The following is a 20,261-nucleotide window of genomic DNA, read 5'->3' as shown; positions in this document are numbered from 1 at the left end:
AATTTGAAGACCATCTTGCTGAAATAAGGCATGCAGACAAGATTAGAGAAAAAATAATGAAAAGGAATGAACAAAACCTCCGAGAAATGTGGGACTATGTGAAGATACTGAAGCTACGATTGATTGGAGTACCTGAAAGAGACTGGGAGAATGGAATCAAGTTGGAAAACACACTTCAGGATATTATCCAGGAGAACTTCCCCAACCTAGCAAGACAGGCCAACATTCAAATTCAGGAAATACATAGAACACCACTAAGATACTCCATGAGAAGATCAACGCCAGGACACGTAATTTTCAGATTCTCCAAGGTTGAAACAAAGGAAAAAATGTTTAAGGGCAGCCAGAGAAAAAGGTCAGGTCACCTACAAAGGGAAGCTCATCAGACTAACAGCAGATCTCTCAGCAGAAACCCTACAAGCTAGAAGAGAGTGAGGGCAATATACAATATTCAATATTCAACATTCTTAAAGATAAGAATTTTTCAACCTAAAATTTCATATTATTAGAAATAAGTAGAATTTTACTTCCTAGATTGGGCACTAGACACACAAAAGTTCATTTTATCATTATGATTATGATTATGTCTAACATGTGCTTTATATATGTATCTATAATTCATTTATATACATGAAATATTGCATAAAAATGAAACAATGATAAGCTATTAAAATGCATCTACTAACATAGTGATCAATTTTAAAGTCACTGAGTATCAGATATTGCCATTTTAATTTTCCAGTACCTACCACTTCTAGTCTTATACGCTGAAGATGAAAGTTTCTTTATTACAATTGCATTGAGATTAAAATAAGCAGGTCATATGATGTTTAGAGCTTTGGAATATTAATTAAGCATCAGGGCTTTGAAGAGAATTCCAGATGTTTGCTCATCATCATATTAACCCTTAAGCTCTATTTCACAGATATCGCAAAAACATCTCCCTAGTCCTAGAGCAGGGAGAGACTGTTGACCTATTATGCTTCATTTTTATTATCTACTTCACCCTCTTAAAAATAAGGTTCATTAAAATAAAGATGTTTGTTTCCATTGCTGATGTATCCCAAGCTCTTTGAACAGAGACTGGCACAAAGTAGAAATTCAAATGATTATCTGCAGTAGGCAGGGAAGAAAGAGAGAGACAGAGCGCAAGAGGGAGGACGAGAGAGGAGGGGGTAGAGAAAGGAGGAGAAGGGAAGAAGGAAGGAGAGAGGTAGAAAACCTACCATCTAGGCCCCAAAATATGAAATATATGATCTTGCCATGCCCTTGGAATTCTCTCTATGCCTTCTCTAATCATTTATTTCCTTCTCTCCCACCCATGAGCTAATTATTGTTTTGAATTTTGTGATAATCATTCTTTTTTTAAGCTGTTATCCCTCTTTGTATAATTTTAAACAATGTATAATTTAGTTTTGTCTGTTTTAAAACAATATAAATGGAACTGTGCCATATACATTCCTTTGTGAATTGCTTTCCACTCAACAAGATGCTTTTTAAAATTTATCCATGACAACACAAATGTTGTTCTGTTTCAGCAGGAGTTTTCTGGATCTTGCAGAAAACATGAGACAGAAAAAAAAATCCAAATACTGTGCAGATACTTTTTAAATATTAGTGTTTTGTTTAAGTCTGTACATATCATATCCTTAGGCCACAAATCAGGTGCATAAATAATATACCCTTCATTATTTCTCTGTGACCAAACATAGTTTCTAGCTATGTCCTCATGCTACCTGTTTGAAGAAAATATAAGCTTATCATTTAAGTGTTTTGACTGAATCAGAGTAAGCCTGGTCAATCCAGGGTTTCTGACCTCTCTTTCCTCCTTCTTTAGATGGCATTGCAGTCCCTGGGGACTAATGTTGTGGTATTAATGGATTTCAGATGAGCATCAGGTTCTTGCTTGACCTCTGGCCTCTCTCTCATCTTTCCAGACAGACAGCCCCCATTGGTTTTTGGCTGGTATCACCTTCTGACTCTGACCCCTTGCTTTCCCACGGCAGGCCCCCACATCTTTGCTTGCCACAGCTTGCTTGCTCTCTTTTCTTCTCCTTCTCATTGTACTTCTCAGGGCTGAAGGACAGGCTGGTCTTCACATCAGAGTCACTGGGGTTGACTGAATACTGCAGGCGCTCTCTCAGGCTCTCCTGTCCTGACATTCTACACAGCCACCCCTCCTCTATTCCTTGCATGCTGAGAACACCCACCTTGTTCAGAATGCTGGATAAGGGAACATGACAAAGATCTTCTCTAACCCCTGGATCCCTGACTTTTTCTCAGAATTCTTTCTTGTTTTTCCCTCGGAAATAACTCAAAATGCACAGGGATGGCCAAATTCAGAGAGCAGGTCCCGTCTCAGACTATAACTGTCTAAGTCTCTTGAATCTTCCAACTCTTTTCTCCCTTACACCTTACTTTTGGTTTCATAGGGGGTGAAAAATATGTCACTGGAAGGGTAAGGAGTTAAGCTTTTCCCTCCTCCAATTTGAATGGCACCTTCATACCCCTTTTTGCTTCTCTTAGGGAAAACCTAGATCCATGTCCAGGGAGTGAGAAACCTGGATCTCCTCTGGAAGTATGGGTGGGAAGGTAGAACTTGATTAAGTATTTTCCAAAAACCTTTTAGCCATGCATGGATGTGGCTTTTGAATTTGAAGACAAAGGATAGATGCCTTTGTTTTTGGGGTAGCTTAGTAACAACCCCTGTGTCTCCTTGTCTAAATAGGCATGAGCCTGTTATAACAAACAAGTAGAAACAAAACCAGATCAGCTAATGATTCACTGTATCAGCTCATCGAGACACACAAAATAAGCTTTTGTAGTTGTTTCAGAAGAGAAATGAAAAACAATATTTGATTACTAAATTAAGTGTATTTAAAATACTATTATTCAAAGAACATTTATCAAGTATGTTTCCTCACTTTACAGAAAAAGAAAGATTAGAAGCTTATTTTTTTCTTTGAATTTAAGTGATTTAATGTGATGGAACTGAATCATGTGACACAAATTAAATCCATAATTTTATATCCATTGAGGTGTTTCAGTATGGTTAGTAATGTCAAAGACATATTTCAGGAGGAAACTGAGCAACAAAAAAGACATTTTTTTATTATGGGGAAATCCAAATGAAAGAACAAAGCTGGAGGCATCATGCTACATGACTTCAAACTATACTACAAGGCTACAGTAACCAAAATAGCATGGTACCGGTACCAAAACAGATATATAGACCAATGGAACAGAACAGAGGCCCCAGAAATAATGCCACACATCTACAACCATCTGATCTTTGACAACCCTCACCAAAACAAGCAATAGGGAAAGGATTCCCTATTTAATAAATGGTGTTGGAGAATACTACAAACACCTCTATGCAAATAAGCTAGAAAATCTAGAAGAAATGGATAAATTCCTTGACACATACACTCTCCCAAGACTAAACCAGGAAGAAGTTGAATCTCTGAATAGACCAATAACAGGATCTGAAATTGTGGCAATAATCAATAGCTTACCAACCAAAAAGAGTCCAGGACCAGATGGATTCACAGCCGAATTCTACCAGAGGTACAAGGAGAAACTGGTGCCATTCCTTCCGAAACTATTCCAATCAATAGAAAAAGAGGGAATCCTCCATAACTCATTTTATGAGGCCAGCATCATTCTGATACCAAAGCCAGGCAGAGACACAACAAAAAAAGAGAATTTTAGACCAATATCCTTGATGAACATTGATGCAAAAATCCTCAATAAAATACTGGCAAAACGAATCCAGCAGCACATCAAAAAGCGTATCCACCATGATCAAGTGGGCTTCATCCCTGGGATGCAAGGCTGGTTCAATATACGCAAATCAATAAATGTAATCCAGCATATAAACAGAGCCAAAGACAAAAACCACATGATTATCTCAATAGATGCAGAAAAAGCCTTTGACAAAATTCAACAACTCTTCATGCTAAAAACTCTCAATAAATTAGGTATTGATGGGACGTATTTCAAAATAATAAGAGCTATCTATGACAAACCCACAGCCAATATCACACTGAATGGGCAAAAACTGGAAGCATTCCCTTTGAAAACTGGCACAAGACAGGGATGCCCTCTCTCACCACTCCTATTCAACATAGTGTTGGAAGTTCTGGCCAGGGCAATTAGGCAGGAGAAGGAAATAAAGGGTATTCAATTAGGAAAAGAGGAAGTCAAATTGTCCCTGTTTGCAGACGACATGATTGTATATCTAGAAAACCCCATGGTCACAGCCCAAAATCTCCTTAAGCTGATAAGCAACTTCAGCAAAGTCTCAGGATACAAAATCAATGTACAAAAATCACAAGCATTCTTATACACCAACAACAGACAAACAGAGAGCCAAATCATGAGTGAACTCCCATTCACAATTGCTTCAAAGAGAATAAAATACCTAGGAATCCAACTTACAAGGGATGTGAAGGACCTCTTCAAAGGGAACTACAAACCACTGCTCAAGGAAATAAAAGAGGATACAAACAAATGGAAGAACATTCCATGCTCATGGGTAGGAAAAATCAATATCGTGAAAATGGCCATACTGCCCAAGGTAATTTACAGATTCAATGCCATCCCCATCAAGCTACCAATGACTTTCTTCACAGAATTGGAAAAAACTACTTTAAAGTTCCTATGGAACCAAAAAAGAGCCCGCATCGCCAAGTCAATCCTAAGCCAAAAGAACAAAGCTGGAGGCATCACACTACCTGACTTCAAACTATACTACAAGGCTACAGTAACCAAAATAGCATGGTACTGGTACCAAAACAGAGATATAGATCAATGGAACAGAACACAGCCCTCAGAAATAACGCCGCATATCTACAACTATCTGATCTTTGACAAACCTGAGAAAAACAAGCAATGGGGAAAGGATTCCCTATTTAATAAATGGTGCTGGGAAAACTGGCTAGCCATATGTAGAAAGCTGAAACTGGATGCCTTCCTTACACCTTATACAAAAATCAATTCAAGATGGATTAAAGACTTAAACGTTAGACCTAAAACCATAAAAACCCTAGAAGAAAACCTAGGCATTACCATTCAGGACATAGGCATGGGCAAGGACTTCATGTCTAAAACACCAAAAGCAATGGCAACAAAAGACAAAATTGACAAATGGGATCTAATTAAACTAAAGAGCTTCTGCACAGCAAAAGAAACTACCATCAGAGTGAACAGGCAACCTACAAAATGGGAGAAAATTTTCGCAACCTACTCATCTGACAAAGGGCTAATATCCAGAATCTACAATGAACTCAAACAAATTTACAAGAAAAAAACAAACAACCCCATCAAAAAGTGGGCAAAGGACATGAACAGACACTTCTCAAAAGAAGACATTTATGCAGCCAAAAAACACATGAAAAAATGCTCACCATCACTGGCCATCAGAGAAATGCAAATCAAAACCACAATGAGATACCATCTCACACCAGTTAGAATGGCAATCATTAAAAAGTCAGGAAATAACAGATACTGGAGAGGATGTGGAGAAATAGGAATGCTTTTACACTGTTGGTGGGAGGGTAAATTAGTTCAACCATTGTGGAAGACAGTGGTATGTACCCAAAGGATTATAAATCATTCTACTATAAAGATACATACACACGTATGTTTATTGCAGCACTGTTCACAATAGCAAAGACTTGGAACCAACCCAAATGCTCATCAATGATAGACTGGATAAAGAAAATGTGGCATGTATACACCATGGAATACTATGCAGCCATTAAAAAGGATGAGTTCATGTCCTTGGCAGGGACATGGATGAAGCTGGAAACCATCATTCTCAGCAAACTAACACAGGAACAGAAAACCAAATACAACATGTTCTTACTTATAAGTGGGACTTGAATAATGAGAACACATGGACACAGGGAAGGGAACATCATACACCAGGGCCTGTCAGAGGGTGGGGAGCTAGGGGAGGAATAGCATTAGGAGAAATATCTAATGTAGATGACGGGTTGATGGGTGCAGCAAACCCCCACGACACGTGTGTACCTCTGTAACAAACCTACACATTCTGCACATGTATCCCAGAACTTAAAGTATAATAAAAATAAAATAAAATAAAATAAATAAAAAACAAATGAGATAACCTGTTCTGTTTTATGCAACGTGTAGGACAATCTTAAGGTGTTAATTGAATTATTTACACTATTTCTTCCCAGAAAATACTTAAAGGATTATACAAGCCAGCTTAAAAACTTGAGGACTGTAACAGAGTATGAATAGTGAATTTGCCCTTCTTTTTGTTCAGTGTGTAATGCAGAGAACTTTACAAATAAATGCAAGAAACAGTTGTTTTACCCTCCCCTGATTGACTCTCAGAGTTTCTCTTGCTCCTTCTGAAAAGTATCACAGTTTGAATCAAGCCAAGTCTTCCTTTCGGTTTCAGAGCATGTGAAAAAGTTGTTATTGGAACAATAAATAAGTAATCTATCTGAGTACCACCTTTATATTCCTCCTTTGCTTCTCTGTGAAAAACCTAGGTCTGCGTCCATGGACGTCATCAGGAAATAAGGCTGAATGGCTTCAGGCTCCATTCCCAAGCTCTGATTCTGTGGACACTTAGAGAGGCTTTTTCAGTGAATATTTTCAAATCGCCTTTAGGACTGCTAGATAACAAGCTGCTCAGGGAGAATGAATAGCAGTGTTAGCCTTGGCACCCCACCCCAACTAGTTACAGAGCAGTGACTCTCAAAGACCTACATTCCCCTGTGGTATTTATCTGTAGTTTTATCTCACGGGTCTCTGTAAGCTTTCTGAGCACATGTTTTTATTTGCCAGCAATGCCTATTAGTACTCACCAGTGGGCCTCACTCTTCCATATCTGTTGCTTAGAGAAAGTAAAAATTGATTTTTTGAAAGTAACGAAAACATGTCAATGTTACTTTGTATTGAATTACTTTAAAAAGTTGTATTTATAAGGTATGTGTTCTTAAAATATTTGCTATTCCTTTCCACTATCTTTTTAATTCAATCAAAACCCTTCATGTAAAGCACAGTTCACTTTACATTATAACTTCTAAGTTCCCAGGACTGAATCCTAAGCAATTCTGAGAGAATATACATGTACATTTTAGATTTCAAAAGGGACAAATAATCAGAGGAAAACAAAGTCTTTCAGAAATAAAAACTAGAGCTTGCTATCATTCTCTCTCTAATTATGGTTCAAAATGTAATTAGAAGTTTAAATGAGATCATGTTAGTAATTTTATATATTTTAAATTATTAGTAAATTAAATTATTATATTATATATTTCCTTTATTGTTCCTATTTCCAATTTAACCTCTTCAGCTTTGTCTTCAGATCATGTTCTATATCATGTTAGCAGTACAATAGAGCAGGAGTATGCATTTGATAGAGTGGAACTTTCAGAAGGTAAGAATCATGAAGTTCTAAGAAGTGATATTCAGAGTCACTTAACCCTAGAAGAGCTTAAATAATTGTTTGAATGGTGTGTGCTTGTGTGTTATCCATTCATTCACTCATTCCTTTATTACAAAGGTACAACTCAAAAGTTTTCAACCTGGGCAGCCTATCAGCATCATCTGGACTACTTGATTTTTTTAAAGTTCAACATGCCCTTTCTCCAGTTCACAGAGGAAGGTCTAGGTAGAACACTTTTGTGCATTTAAATCAGTGCAACAGGACATGTAGGGGAAGAGCAGGAAATACCAGCTCATGGTCAGGACAAGCCAAGTACAGATCTAAATCTGAGCCAGCTTCACCTTGGCAGGCTGAAGTCAGGAAATGGCAATGGGAACCTTCGTAGTTATATTCACCTAGGGATGGGATAGTTCCATTGTGTCTATCCCACATGATATCTAGATCTTGGTTCATACTGTTGTACCCTGGAATGTTTGCTCTCTACTCCTGGGAAGATCAGTGGACAAGGTCATGACTGGTCCTGGAACTTAAGGTTACTCTTCACACAACTCGAAGTCTAGCTACGCCTATGTTTTCCTATCTCTCTACCTTTGGTTTTGTTCTTCCCTCCTCATAGAATGCTCTTCCTGGGCCTTCTCCTCCATTCTGCTTATTAAAATCCTGTCTTCCAAGATTCAATTAAAATGCCATCTTCTCCAAGAAGCCTATCATTTAGTTTTATAAACATAGCTGTCTCTTTCATACTGTAGTGTAGTTAGACTGCTTATCATATTCTACCTTGCGTTCTCAAAATAAGAAGTGAGAAATGCATTTGCAGGAGGCCTACCCAAATTAGAGTTCTAGTAAGAGTGGAGGTGGAGAGGACATTTAACTACACATGCCTTATCGAGGTTCTGGCATTCTGCTTTGGGTGTGTGCATCATTTCTCTATGCAATGAGAACCACTGTGTATTATGAGATATGATTGGAGTATGTTACAAATGTAAAAACTATGGATTTTGATAAAAGGTTGAGAACCACTAATTAAGTCATTACAAAAATATTTACAGAGACCCCCTGTGTACCAGTGCAAACAAATGCCTATCATCTTTTTTTCTTGAGAGCAGAACTCATGGGCTGTTCAGCATCAGATTTCTGGTGTCTCCTACTCAGGGCTAGGTAAGAGCTCTGTCAGTGTTGATTAGAAGAAAGTTTGCTCCACTTTGTGGAAGTCTGATATTAATGGTGAGTCCACATAAATGAAATAGTATTACCCACTATTTTGTAGTATGTTTTTGTTTGTTAGCTAAATGACCTTAAAAATCTGATAAATCACAAAAGGGCAAACTAAATGTAAGGGTTGTTCCCCAAAAGTTTCTCCTCATGTTTTATGTCTGCATTTGCTATGCTTTCTGATACCTCAAACCTAGTCACTTGCTCTAATTGTACTTTGCAATATGAGTAATGCATGCAAGAGTTCATGGGAGTTTTGTGGCTTCTGAAAACTCTGGGACAGGAAGTGTGGAAATTTGGGAAGTAGAGGTAATAATGGGGAAGGGAGTATTGGGTTGGATGTTGCACTGTCGAACAGAGATGATGGGGCAGAGTAAGCTAAGTCTTTGGATACAAGGTATGGAACAGCTCTCAGAGACAGTTCTCTCATTCTGGTGCCGCTCTCATCTAGTAGCAGTTTGATGTGTGACCAGAATTTGACTGGGTTCATGTGTAATGCTCACACCAAGGACAGACTCAAGACTTTGTTATATACCCCCAATAATTAGCCCCGCTCCAAGTGCTGAAAATACTTCCAAATTATTGGAAGCTCTGTTGTCTTAACCTTACACCTTGAAGAACAGAAATCCCTTCTTTTGTTACCACTCATCTCCTCTCTCTCCAAAACCTATAGGCTTCCGTTCCTCTTGATTCCAGGTCTCTATCTATCTCTCTTCTCATTCTGCTTCTAAAATACTCCCAATTTTTCAGAACAATTTAGTTCTGATCAAAAGATTAATCAATTCAACAAAGCAAAAGCCTGATGGTTTCCCTAAAATGACGTCTATAGTTCTTCAAACAAAAATCACGTACCATACATAATATGCAATACTGCATATTGTCTGGGTTGATCATGGTTTGTCTGTTATTTTCAATTTCATTAGAATTCCTATAAAAACTTAATTTCCTCATTACCCTCAGGACATTTTTCAAAATGTTAATCACTGTACCTATGACCTACATTTGTAATTAGAAAATATCACGAGTTACTGAGTTAGATGGTTGCTTATATTTTTAACATTTTACGGTTTATTTAAATTATGTTTTTGCTAGAAAAGCTCATACATTTTCTCAGTAGGAAACAAAAAAATGGGAATAGGTTTTATATCACTGGTTAAAAAATTTAAAAACAAAACTAGAAGTGTTTTTCACTAGAAGTAAGAGAAACATTTAAAATTGGTGGGAAAGTATTAACATTATTAAAAGATCAAATTTGCCTTATGATTAACATAGTATTTTAATATATTATCATAGTTCACTAATTAAACTTTATATATTGTTTATATTTGAAACATCTTAAGATGCAATATTTTGTATTATGTATGGTAAATAATCTTTGTAATTATGTTGGTATTAATGCCAAATCAAATGTAGATTCATATTCTACTAACTACATCTTTATGTTCCAGGAAATACACTGAGTTTTATTACAATCACTATCCTGTTTAGTCAGACAAATAACCCTACAATTTAGATATTATCATATCTAAATCCAAGGTGAGAACTTAGGTCTAAGGCAGCGAAGTAAGTCTCCAGCATCACAGGTGTATACATGTATTACAAATGAATCTAACTTTCTCATTTCTTTTCACGGTTTCATATAGCACACAGAAAATTATATGGTATAGCTATGCGGTAGGAGTACAGACAGAAAGAGGAAAGAATTTCCTGTGAAACCTTACCCCAAAGACTAGCATAATTGCTTCATCAAATCTACTTCTGTTTAATCTTAGCACAATTTATCCAATGAGCTTACAAATGTGCTCATAAGATTAGTTATATCTCACAGATATTTTTATTTTTAAATGTTGAAAGTTATGAATTTGGGAGTGAAATTTTTTATCATTTATTCACCCATTGACCATCTATACAAAAAAAATTACAGCTAACTCTACAAGGAAAGAATTTTAGTCTGACAAAAGTGAAGCTCACTCAGAGAAACTAAATTATTTGTCTAACGTCACAAAACTAATTTTTGAAAAGGCGGGGCTTTTCATCTATTTTGCCCAAATTCAAAACCAGTAACCTGTATCATGTTCTAGAAGTTAATTATGATGGGTTGGTTTAGTTAAATTCTCTAAACTTCCCTCCAGAGCAAAAAGTGTGCTCAAAATCTACTGATGGAAGGATTCTGACAGCAGCATAACTTAAGGATATTTTAAGTAATATTGTGTGTGTGAGTGTGTGTGTGTGTGTGTGTGTATGAAAGAGAAAGAGAGAGAGGGAGAGTGTGTGTGTGTGTGTGCGTGTGTGTGTGTGTGTGTGTGTGTGTGTGTCTCCTGTCCACTGTATTTGCATGGACAACAAAAGTAAGAAGGAAGGTAGAGGGAGCATGCCTGCATTCCCATAGAGATTATTAGCTGGCTTGGTGATGATAAAATGTTTTCCCAAGAGGGGCAGGACTAGGACAAGAAAGGATCTGGGTTGGTAGGAAGATGAATTATCAGATGATGTACTCTTTACTAAATTTGAAAGTAGGGGTGGTCTGTGAAGCTCATCTGTCTTGGAGTAACTCTTAGATGTTTACTCATAGTTAGATACAGTCAGGATATTAGAAGTTATTTCCAGAAGACTCCACCAATCCTCTTCATCCAAGGTATGCATTTTGTCCCTCCCATTTGTTTAACAGGAACCCTAGCAGATGGTCCTTATTGAGTATTATAGATTTTTTTTCTTTCTGTGTGTCATATCTCATTGTTGTGATCAATAATTTTAGCCAATACTGCCTTTACTATTATTTTAGTTGTATCACTCAGAGCTTATGACATTTATTGTGTTGATATACAAAATCCATGCCACATTTGTGTGCAAATAAATAAATATAGCTAATTCTTATGGTATAACTTTCAGCATTTATGTTTCAGTATGTTTTTTTCAATGTACAATATTCTTTCCTTAAAACTGTATTTCCATAACTCTACTAAACTGGAGATGGAATCAATGTAAAGTCTGGTAAATAGTAAAGAGAAGAAACCTAATTTCAATGAGTTTAGAATTGTTCTAAAACCCATATGTAGCCAAAATTGTCCTTCTATAGTTCATCTTAATGCTTATGAGTTTACCAAATGCTTATGAGTTAAAGAAATTATTTATGATATTTATATTAAATTATAAAAAATAGCATTATATTGCGCATGATTATAACTTGTCAGATATACACACACATACACTTACACACACATGCACACAAGACTTAATAATTTCCTTGATGCCATTTCAGGAGATTAAGGAATGATAGAGCACAATTCCACCTGAAAATCGTGTTATAACCTATGTGACAGCATTAGCCCTTCCGGTCTGTAATTCAATCAGAAATTTTGTTGTTGTTGTTAGCATATTTCAACATTTTTTAATAAGAGAAAGATATTTTCTGTGGATAAAGGAAAAGGAAACATGATTTTATTCTTTTTTATTTTGAAAATAAATCACAGATAGAATATCATTTCTTTACATAATAAAATTCTACATCCAAATATTTGCATTGCATACTATTTGTTAGCAGACAATATTAATAGGTTTCAAGATAATCTCTCATTAGATTCTGAGAGTGTCTGCTCTAGTTGATAACAACTAGAGTTGGACTCCATAGGAATCCAGGCAACAATTCAAGTAGAGTAAAAAATAAGTTGAGTTATAAAGAAAAATGAATCATCTTAAGATCACCACTGATGAATACAAGAATCACAAAAGTTTCAATAGCAAAAGCAAAGTATATTAAAAATTAAGGAAAATATGCCAATTATGTTTCTCTTCATAATTTTACGACAGTAATTTTTTACAATCATGGCTGATTATAAATGAGAATTACTTTTTTTCATAACTTCTTTACAGCATTTTCTCTAAATTATTAAAATAAGTACGCTTTTTTTTTTTTCAGAAGCAAGAACCAGTTCACAGAAGTGTGAGTTTATTCATCAGTAAACACCTTTAAGTAAAACCTCGTGCATGGTGGCAGCTCTAATTTGACCAAAAGACTTGGAGATTTTGATTATGCTTGCTGGAAATCTACCCTGTCCTGTGTGAGACAGGAAATCTATTTTTGCAGATTGCTCAATAAGCATCATGAGCCACATAAATAACAGCTGTAAACTCCTTAATTCACCGGGCTCAACTGCTACCGAACAGATTCATCTAGTGGCTACATCAGCACCTTGTGCTTTCAGATATCTGTTTCAATGGCATTTTGTGGCATTTGTCTTTACCGAGTGCCAATAAATTTTCTTTGAGCAGCTAATTGCTAATTTTGTCATTTCTACAATAAAGCTTGGTCCACCTGTTTTCACCTTAGATTGTCCCTTTTCTAAACGTCAAAAATGTAGTGCAAATTAAAAAAAAAAATTATCTTTTACATTAATTCTACCATTTGTCCTAAGGGATAGATATCTTTGAAAACATGTTTATATTATAGTGAGAGTGAATGGCAGGGATGAAATGTATCATCCAAAAACCCACCAGGTTGTCCAAATAGTAGAAAGGTGAGTTTTACTGGCAATATCAGTTTGCAAATTGGGAAGAGACAGTCTCCAGTGTGTACCAAAGATGCTCTCTCTTCGAAGAGGGAAAGGGTAGTTGGGTTTTTATGCCTCACAGAGTCTATTACACAATAGAGGCATACATATTTAGCAGGTTTGGGGAAAAAGCTATACATATTTATGAGCAGAGTCAAGCACATGCCTAATGGGTAAACATATATGTAATGTACATCCCATGTTCATTTTGCGGTGGGGATTTAGCATTAAAATGAGGAGGAATTTGGCTCTTTCTTTTAAAGAAACATAGGATACAAAGTTTGTGGACAGTCTCTGTAAGCTGGCCAAAACTGGCTTGAGATCTTTAGTTACTTCTCAGTAAAGAATGTTTGTAAGATTGGCCCTCAGTCTTCTTAAAGTTGTAGTGGTGTGGGCTATAAATCAGTTAGGAAGGGTCTGCAATTTTTCTGATATCTCCTATTGTTAGGGAGTTTACCAAGAATGTGGTTTTTCTTATAGCCGTAGGAATTTAGGAAGTTTCCATGACAGTCAAGCTCTCAACACTCAACCTGGAAGTAACTTTTGTTTCATTAACCTTAGGGTTCATCTTAGTTAATAAGTGGGTATTTATTTTGGTCTCTCAGAACATGAACGGTTTACTGTACTGTTTTTGTTGGATTTGAAATTGACTTGTTTTCTACATAATTCAGTTTAAGGTTAGCTAAGTTATTTCTTTTTGGAAAAAGTCTGGTTTTTAAGAGCTGCTTTCCTACATCATCTTTTACTGTTATCAGTTTACTTAATAGTTAACTCTGCTAGACTAGTAGAAGCACTCCAATAATTAATTAGCTAAGAATGGCTGATGTCCAGTATTGAATAATGTATTTTCACAAATAAGTATATTTATTTCATCTATCTCACCTTGCCTTCACACAGGAGGTGGAAAACTTGGCTATAAAATATCATCAGATTAGTCAAGGTTCTCCAGAGGGACAGAAACAATAAGAAATACATGTGAAGTGAAATTTATTAGGGAGAATTGCCTCATGCAGTCATAAAGGCAAAGTCCCATGATGGGCCATCTGCAAGCTGGAGAGCCAGAAAAGCTGGTGGCTTGGCTCAGTCCAAATGCAAAAGCCGAGAAACCAGGAAAGTTAACAGTGGAGCCCCAGCCTGAGGCCAAAGGCCTTAGACCACCCCCTTCCCGGGAGGCTGTTGGTACAAGTCTCAGGGTCCAAAGGTTGAGAACCTGGAGCTGAATGTCCAAGGGAAGGAGGATAAACAGCCCCTTCTGTGATGGAAGTTTCCTACTCAGAAAGGGAAAGAGAGAAAGCCAGAGCAAGCTGAGTGTCTCCCTTTTTCTACCTGCTTTGTCCCAGCTGCTCCCCCAGCTGATTGGATGGTGCCCGCCCATATTCAGGGTAGGTCTTTTTCTCTCTCAGCCCACTGACTCATGGGTTAATCTTCTCTGGAAACAGTCACCTAGGCACACCCCAAAACAATGCTTCACCAGCCATCTAGGCATCCCTCAATCCAGTCAAGTTGGTACCTAAAATTACCCATCACAAGTCTACCCCTTGCCAGCTTGGCACCCATTATGCACCTCTTTAAACCACACCTAATCTCCAGATGAAGACTATAAAAAGGTCATAATTCTGTCCAACATGGTGAAACTATCCTGTTTACAAGCCAACGTGTACTAATCCCATCCTCAGAAGAAAGGATAAAGTTCATGAGTGTGGTTTACTCTTCTGATCTCCTGCAACTCAAATCTGATATAAAATTAACAGTATTCAAATGCTGATATTAAGTCAATAAATCTTATGTTACATGATAAAGGAAAAAGAGAAAACAAAGATACTTGCTTAAGACATGTTAATATACATACAAATGTATTCTTAACAAAATAGGAAATACTTATAAAAATTACAATCCTCATTTCTGTATCTGGCCACATGGCTGTATATGGTATTTATACATGTCTTCTACTACCCATTCTGTATTCTGTATTGCCTTCAGTAAGCACCTCAGCTGGTCATGGTTCTTTGCCTGGCAAGGTGACCCAAACCTTCATTCCTGAAGAGTCTGGGCAATTCATAGTCAGCCTATATTGAGTGGTTGTAGTTTCCCATTGACCTTCATCACAGGACAGGGTAATACTAATAGTTGCTCTAAGGAACCTTCTGTATTCCAGAAATACTATTCTTTATCTCCATTGTGGAACAGTAGGCCAATCAATCGCCCTTAGTAGCCTAGATGAATCACCCTAGCCAACACCCTAACTCCCTTTTTAGCCTGTTGACTCAAGAATCATGAGGAACCCAAAGCAGCCGGGTCACAGTTTTAATTCCCAGTTCAGTTGAATCATTTTTGTGTCTCCTAGTAGAAGCATGCCTCCCTCTGAAACAAAGTTCACTGCAGAACTAGGCCAGAAGAACATAATGTTGCAGAAACAGTGAGAAAAAATTTTGCTAGTGGGTCACTAGAGGTGATGATAAGTAGTTCCACTTCCATTTCTACCTATTGATTCCTGGACCTATGACTCCTGGCTATGGGAGAAACAGTACCATATATTGGATGCTGATTCAGAACATATACAACCTTCTGGAGAAATCTATCTCAGCCCTGTAAAATATTGTCACCTAGCTGGTACTGTAGAAGCCAGCTTCTTCAGGAGAATGGGAAACATGCTAAGACCAGTGAATTCTATGAGCATGAGCTGATTGCTGCACTTTTTCCCTGTGAAGTGAATTCCTGGGTCAGAAACAATGCTGTGTGGAATAGGATGGCAGTGAATAAGTCATTACATAAGTTTACAGATGGTAGTTTTGGCAATAGCATTGTATGCAGGGAAGACAAATCCATATCCATACTAAGTGTCTATGCCAGTAAGGACAAAATGCTGCCCCTTCTGTGATGGAAGTAGTCTAATGGAATCAATCTGCCCTGGGGAATGGTGCCATATTAGGGCTCACTATTGGTCTGTGAGTGCTCAGTCTATGGCGAGGCAGTAGCCAGATCACTCTTGGTGAGTGGAAGCCCATGTTGCTGAGCCCATGAATCACCTCTATCCCTACCACCATGGTCACTTTGTTCATGAGTTCACTGGGCAATGACAATGGTAGCTGAGGAGGAGGCTGACTGGTATCCACAGAATGGGTCATCTTATTCACTTGATTATTAACACCCTCCTCTGCTGAGGTCACCTTTTGGTGAGTATTCATATGGAACACAAATATTTTTATATTTTTTGCCCACTCAGAGAGGTCTATACACATAACTCTTCCCCAAATTTCTGTGTTACCAATATTCCAATTATGTTCCTTCCAAGTCCTTGACCATCCAGCCAAACCATTGGACCATGTATTCTTGTCCTCTGTCAACTGATTGTAGGGAACTCCCCATGAAGGCATAGTACAAACTGGGAGAGAGGAGGCAGTGTAGAAGGAGTGAGGACTATGGGCATTTGGGCTTCTTCATGTAACTTACTTGTGCCTTCAGGACCTGCTTCAGCCTGATCGTGTGTATACCACTACCATGTGACGATAGAATACTGCTGTGTCTCCCCAACTTTATGGCTTAATGGGCCAAATAACACCCAGTTAATGGTAGGTAGTTCAGGTCACATGGTAATTTGCTGGCCCAAGGCCAAGCATTCAGCTTTTACTAAGGCCTAGTAGCAGGTCAAGAGCTACCTCGCAAAAGGAGAGTAGTTATCTGCAGATGATGCCAGGCCTCATTCCAGAATCCTAAAGACCTCTATTGTGATTCACCTGTAGGGCCCTGCCAAAGACTCCAAACAGCATACCTATCTGCCACTGATACAGCAAGGACCATTGGAGCTCTTGGGTCACATGGCCCAAGTGGCAGAGCAGCTTGCATAGCAGCCTGGACTTGTTGCAGTCTTTTCCTGTTCTGTGCCCCACTCATAACTAGCAGTTTTTTGTGTCACCCAGTAAATGGGCTAGGGTAACACACCCAAATATGTCGCCTTTATAATCCAAATAGGTCCACTAGGAATTGTGCTTCTTTCTCAGTTATAGGAGGGGCCAGATGCAACAACTCTTTACTTTAGAAGGGTTATCTCCACAGGCCCTGCACCACTGGACCCTTAGAAATTTCACTGAAATGGAAGGCCCCTGAAGTTTAGTTGGATTTATTTCCTGCCCCCTGACAATGCACATGTCTTGCCAATAAATCCACAGTGGTTGTTACTTCTTGCTCACTAGGTCCAATTAACATAATATCATCAATGAAGTGAACAGGGTGATAGCTTGTGGAAGGGAAAAGCAATCAGGATCCCTGCAAAATAGATTATGACATAGGGCTGAAGGGTTGGTATACCCCTGAGGTAGGAGGGCAAAGGTATATTGCTGGCCTTGCCAGTGAATCAAATTGCTTCTGGTGGGCCTTATGGACAGGTATGGAGAAAAAGCATTTACCAGAACAATAGCTGCATAACAGGCACCAGATGTGTTAATGTGTTCAAGAATGAAACTACATTGGGTGTAGCAGTTGCAATTAGAGTCACGACTTGGGTAAGCTTACAATAAGCCATTGCCATTCTCCAGGATCCATCTGTCTTCTGTACAAGCCAAATAGGAGAGTTGAATGGGGACATGGTGAAAATCACCACCTCTGCATCTGTCAAGTCCTTGATGGTTGCACTAGTCTCTGCAAACCCTTCAAGAATGCTACCTTGTTTTCTATTTACTATTGTCTTAGGTACAGGCAGTTCTAATAGCTTCCATTTGGCCTTTCCTATCATAATAATCTTCACCCACTAGTTAGGGAACCAATGTGGGGATTCTGTCTGCTGCTAAGTCTGTCTATTTCAATAATGCATTTTGAACTGGGGAAATAACTACCTTATGGGTTCGGGGACCACTGGACCTGAGCTAAAGCTCCATGAATCACCTGACTCCCCTAACCTCTACTATAACTGGAGGGCCACAGTGATGTTTTCAGTCTCTTGGGATCAATGTCAGTTCAGAGCCAGTGGCCAGTCATCCCTGAAAAGCCTGATTATTTTCCTTTCCCTGATACAAGGCCAGAGGTCCCTTTGGGGAAGTATAAGAGAAAGATTAACAGTATAAATTTTATGTAGTGCACCAGAGTCTTTCCTCAACAGGACCTGGTCTCCCCTTCACTTAAAGGGCTCTGGGTCTGTAAACTGGCTCAAGTCTAGAAATTGATTGAGGGGCAGTGATTCCCTGTTGTCAAGATTTGAGTTAGACTTTTCTTCACTTGACCCAGAAATTTTGTGCTTCTACAGTTCAAGTAAGAGCATAGTAAGCTTCCCATCTATTTTACTTCTAGGAACATCATGATTAATTAGCCAGTGCTGGAGGTCTACACAAGTCAGATTATTCTGATTGTTGCTTTGCCTCTGCTGTTAATTCCAGTAACTACGCCCACCTTGCCTTTGACATTTGAGTGCCATCGCTTGGCTCCTGCCACCCAGGGATCCAATTATTCCCATTGCATTTGTTTTCTAATTGAGTGATTGTAGTTCCCACTATAAGTTCTGGAATGCAGAGAAGAGCAATCACAGAGATCTTTAAGGATGCTGGTGCTCCCCTCACAAATTTATTTCTTAAAATATTAGTGAAAGGTGTATCTTCTGGACCCTCCCAGTGTGGGGGAGTAGGTTTTATGTGACAAGTCCACTGTATCATTCCAATTTCCTTAAGCCTTTTAATTCCCTCCTCTAAATGAAACCAAGGTAGATCAGGCATCCCCAGCTCACTCCTGGGGTGGTCTATTTTTTGATCCATGTTTCAGCCAGTCAGCCAAATAAACTTATAGTGCCTGTTTTCACTCCTTGAGCTTCAATATTAAATGCAGAATATATGCTTAGTGGGCTCATATCAATAAATTTGACCTTATTCTTTGTTTCTTCCACCATAATCCCACATCCTTAATATCCATTCCCACGCATGTTTCTTGGATTTCTGCTGGTATCAGTTAGAACACTCAAGTAGTTCTTTTGGAGTATAGCGCACCTCCTTGTGGGTCACACTCTGAACCTCCCCTCTGGGATTTCAGTCTAGTTACAGGTTTAGAAGCAAAGAGGGGTGGTAGGGGTGGGTCTCAAGGAGAATCAGCATTGTCTTGCCCGGCAACTGCTGCAGGGGAGACCATTACTCTTTTTTCTGACAATGCAGTTAATCCCAGAGAGGGGTGGAAAAGAGATACCATTGTGGGTGGGGGTGCCACTGCCTCTGGAGGTGGAGAGGACAGTCACCTTGGCAAAAAATACTCTTCAGAATTTACGAGCTCAATGCCCCCCATCAGGATCATCCCACACATCTCCATCCCCATTTAGATAATTCCATTTTTTTTTTCCCCAACCAACGTCCTCACTTTAACACTAGATACCAGTAAAGGCTGAGAGTTCACCTTTCTTTGTAACTCAGCCGATGGATGCTGAAGGCTTGTGTTTGATTTTCAGCAGTTTAAGTCCCATGGCTAAAGAAGAGGAGATTCTCCTTCTCCTTCAGGACACACTTAGAAATTTTTAGGGTATGTATATGCATCTGGAGCTGGGAGTTGGAATCCCTGAGCTCATCTTTTTCTTTCCTCACTTTGTCCAGTGATATTAAGAGCACCCAACTAACTTCATTATCATTTCTTGGTTTCCCACCAGAGTTGGAAGGTATGCATATAGTCACTGAACTCCTTACCTCCTGAAAGTGGTGAATTAGAAGCATCAAGTGCCTTTATTTTGTGTATCTCTATAAACAGTTCACGCCAAAGACTATTTAGGTTTAATCAGATTATAAAGTCAGTTCCAGAAATCCCAAAACCAATTAAGGAAATTCCTTTTAAGAATACTGTTCCTCTAGAACCATTCCTGGCATCAGTGTCTGTATTAGGGTTCTCCAGGGGGACAGAACCAATAGAATATACATGAAAGGGAATTTATTGGGGAAAATTGGCTCACACTGTCACAAAGGCAAAGTCTCACCACGATAGGCCATCTGCAAGATGAAGAAGCAGTTTGTAGCGTGGCTTTGAGAGAAGCCGGTAGTGTGACCATCTCAGTCTGAAAGCCTCAAAACCAAGGAGGCCAAGAATGCAGCCCCAGTCTGAGGCTAACGGCCTTAGAG

General features: G+C 38.5%; 1 protein-coding gene across 18 annotated transcripts in view; it reads left to right on the top strand.

The window, feature by feature from the left end:
- PDE1A (phosphodiesterase 1A) overlaps positions 1–20,261 on the top strand; it is a 576,757-nt gene that overhangs the window by 535,950 nt on the left and 20,546 nt on the right. For 5 of the 18 annotated variants that reach the window (NM_001003683.3, NM_001395262.1, NM_001395263.1 and 2 more), the window contains one exon: positions 12,558–12,967. The exons of 9 other annotated variants lie outside the window; for them this stretch is intronic. In NM_001003683.3, the coding sequence (NP_001003683.1) occupies positions 12,558–12,601 (44 nt within the window). In that variant the 3' untranslated portion in view covers positions 12,602–12,967. Of the gene's footprint in view, positions 1–7,336; positions 7,421–8,478; positions 12,535–12,557; positions 12,968–20,261 lie in introns of those variants that run through there. 4 more of the 18 variants (XM_011511326.3, XM_017004294.3, XM_011511323.3 and 1 more) reach the window with 4 other exon arrangements.

This window comes from Homo sapiens, chromosome 2 (genome assembly GCF_000001405.40).
Source record: "Homo sapiens chromosome 2, GRCh38.p14 Primary Assembly".
Taxonomy (NCBI): Eukaryota; Metazoa; Chordata; class Mammalia; order Primates; family Hominidae; genus Homo; species Homo sapiens.
Note: the sequence above shows the minus strand (reverse complement) of the source record. Positions and strands in the feature narration are given on the sequence as shown.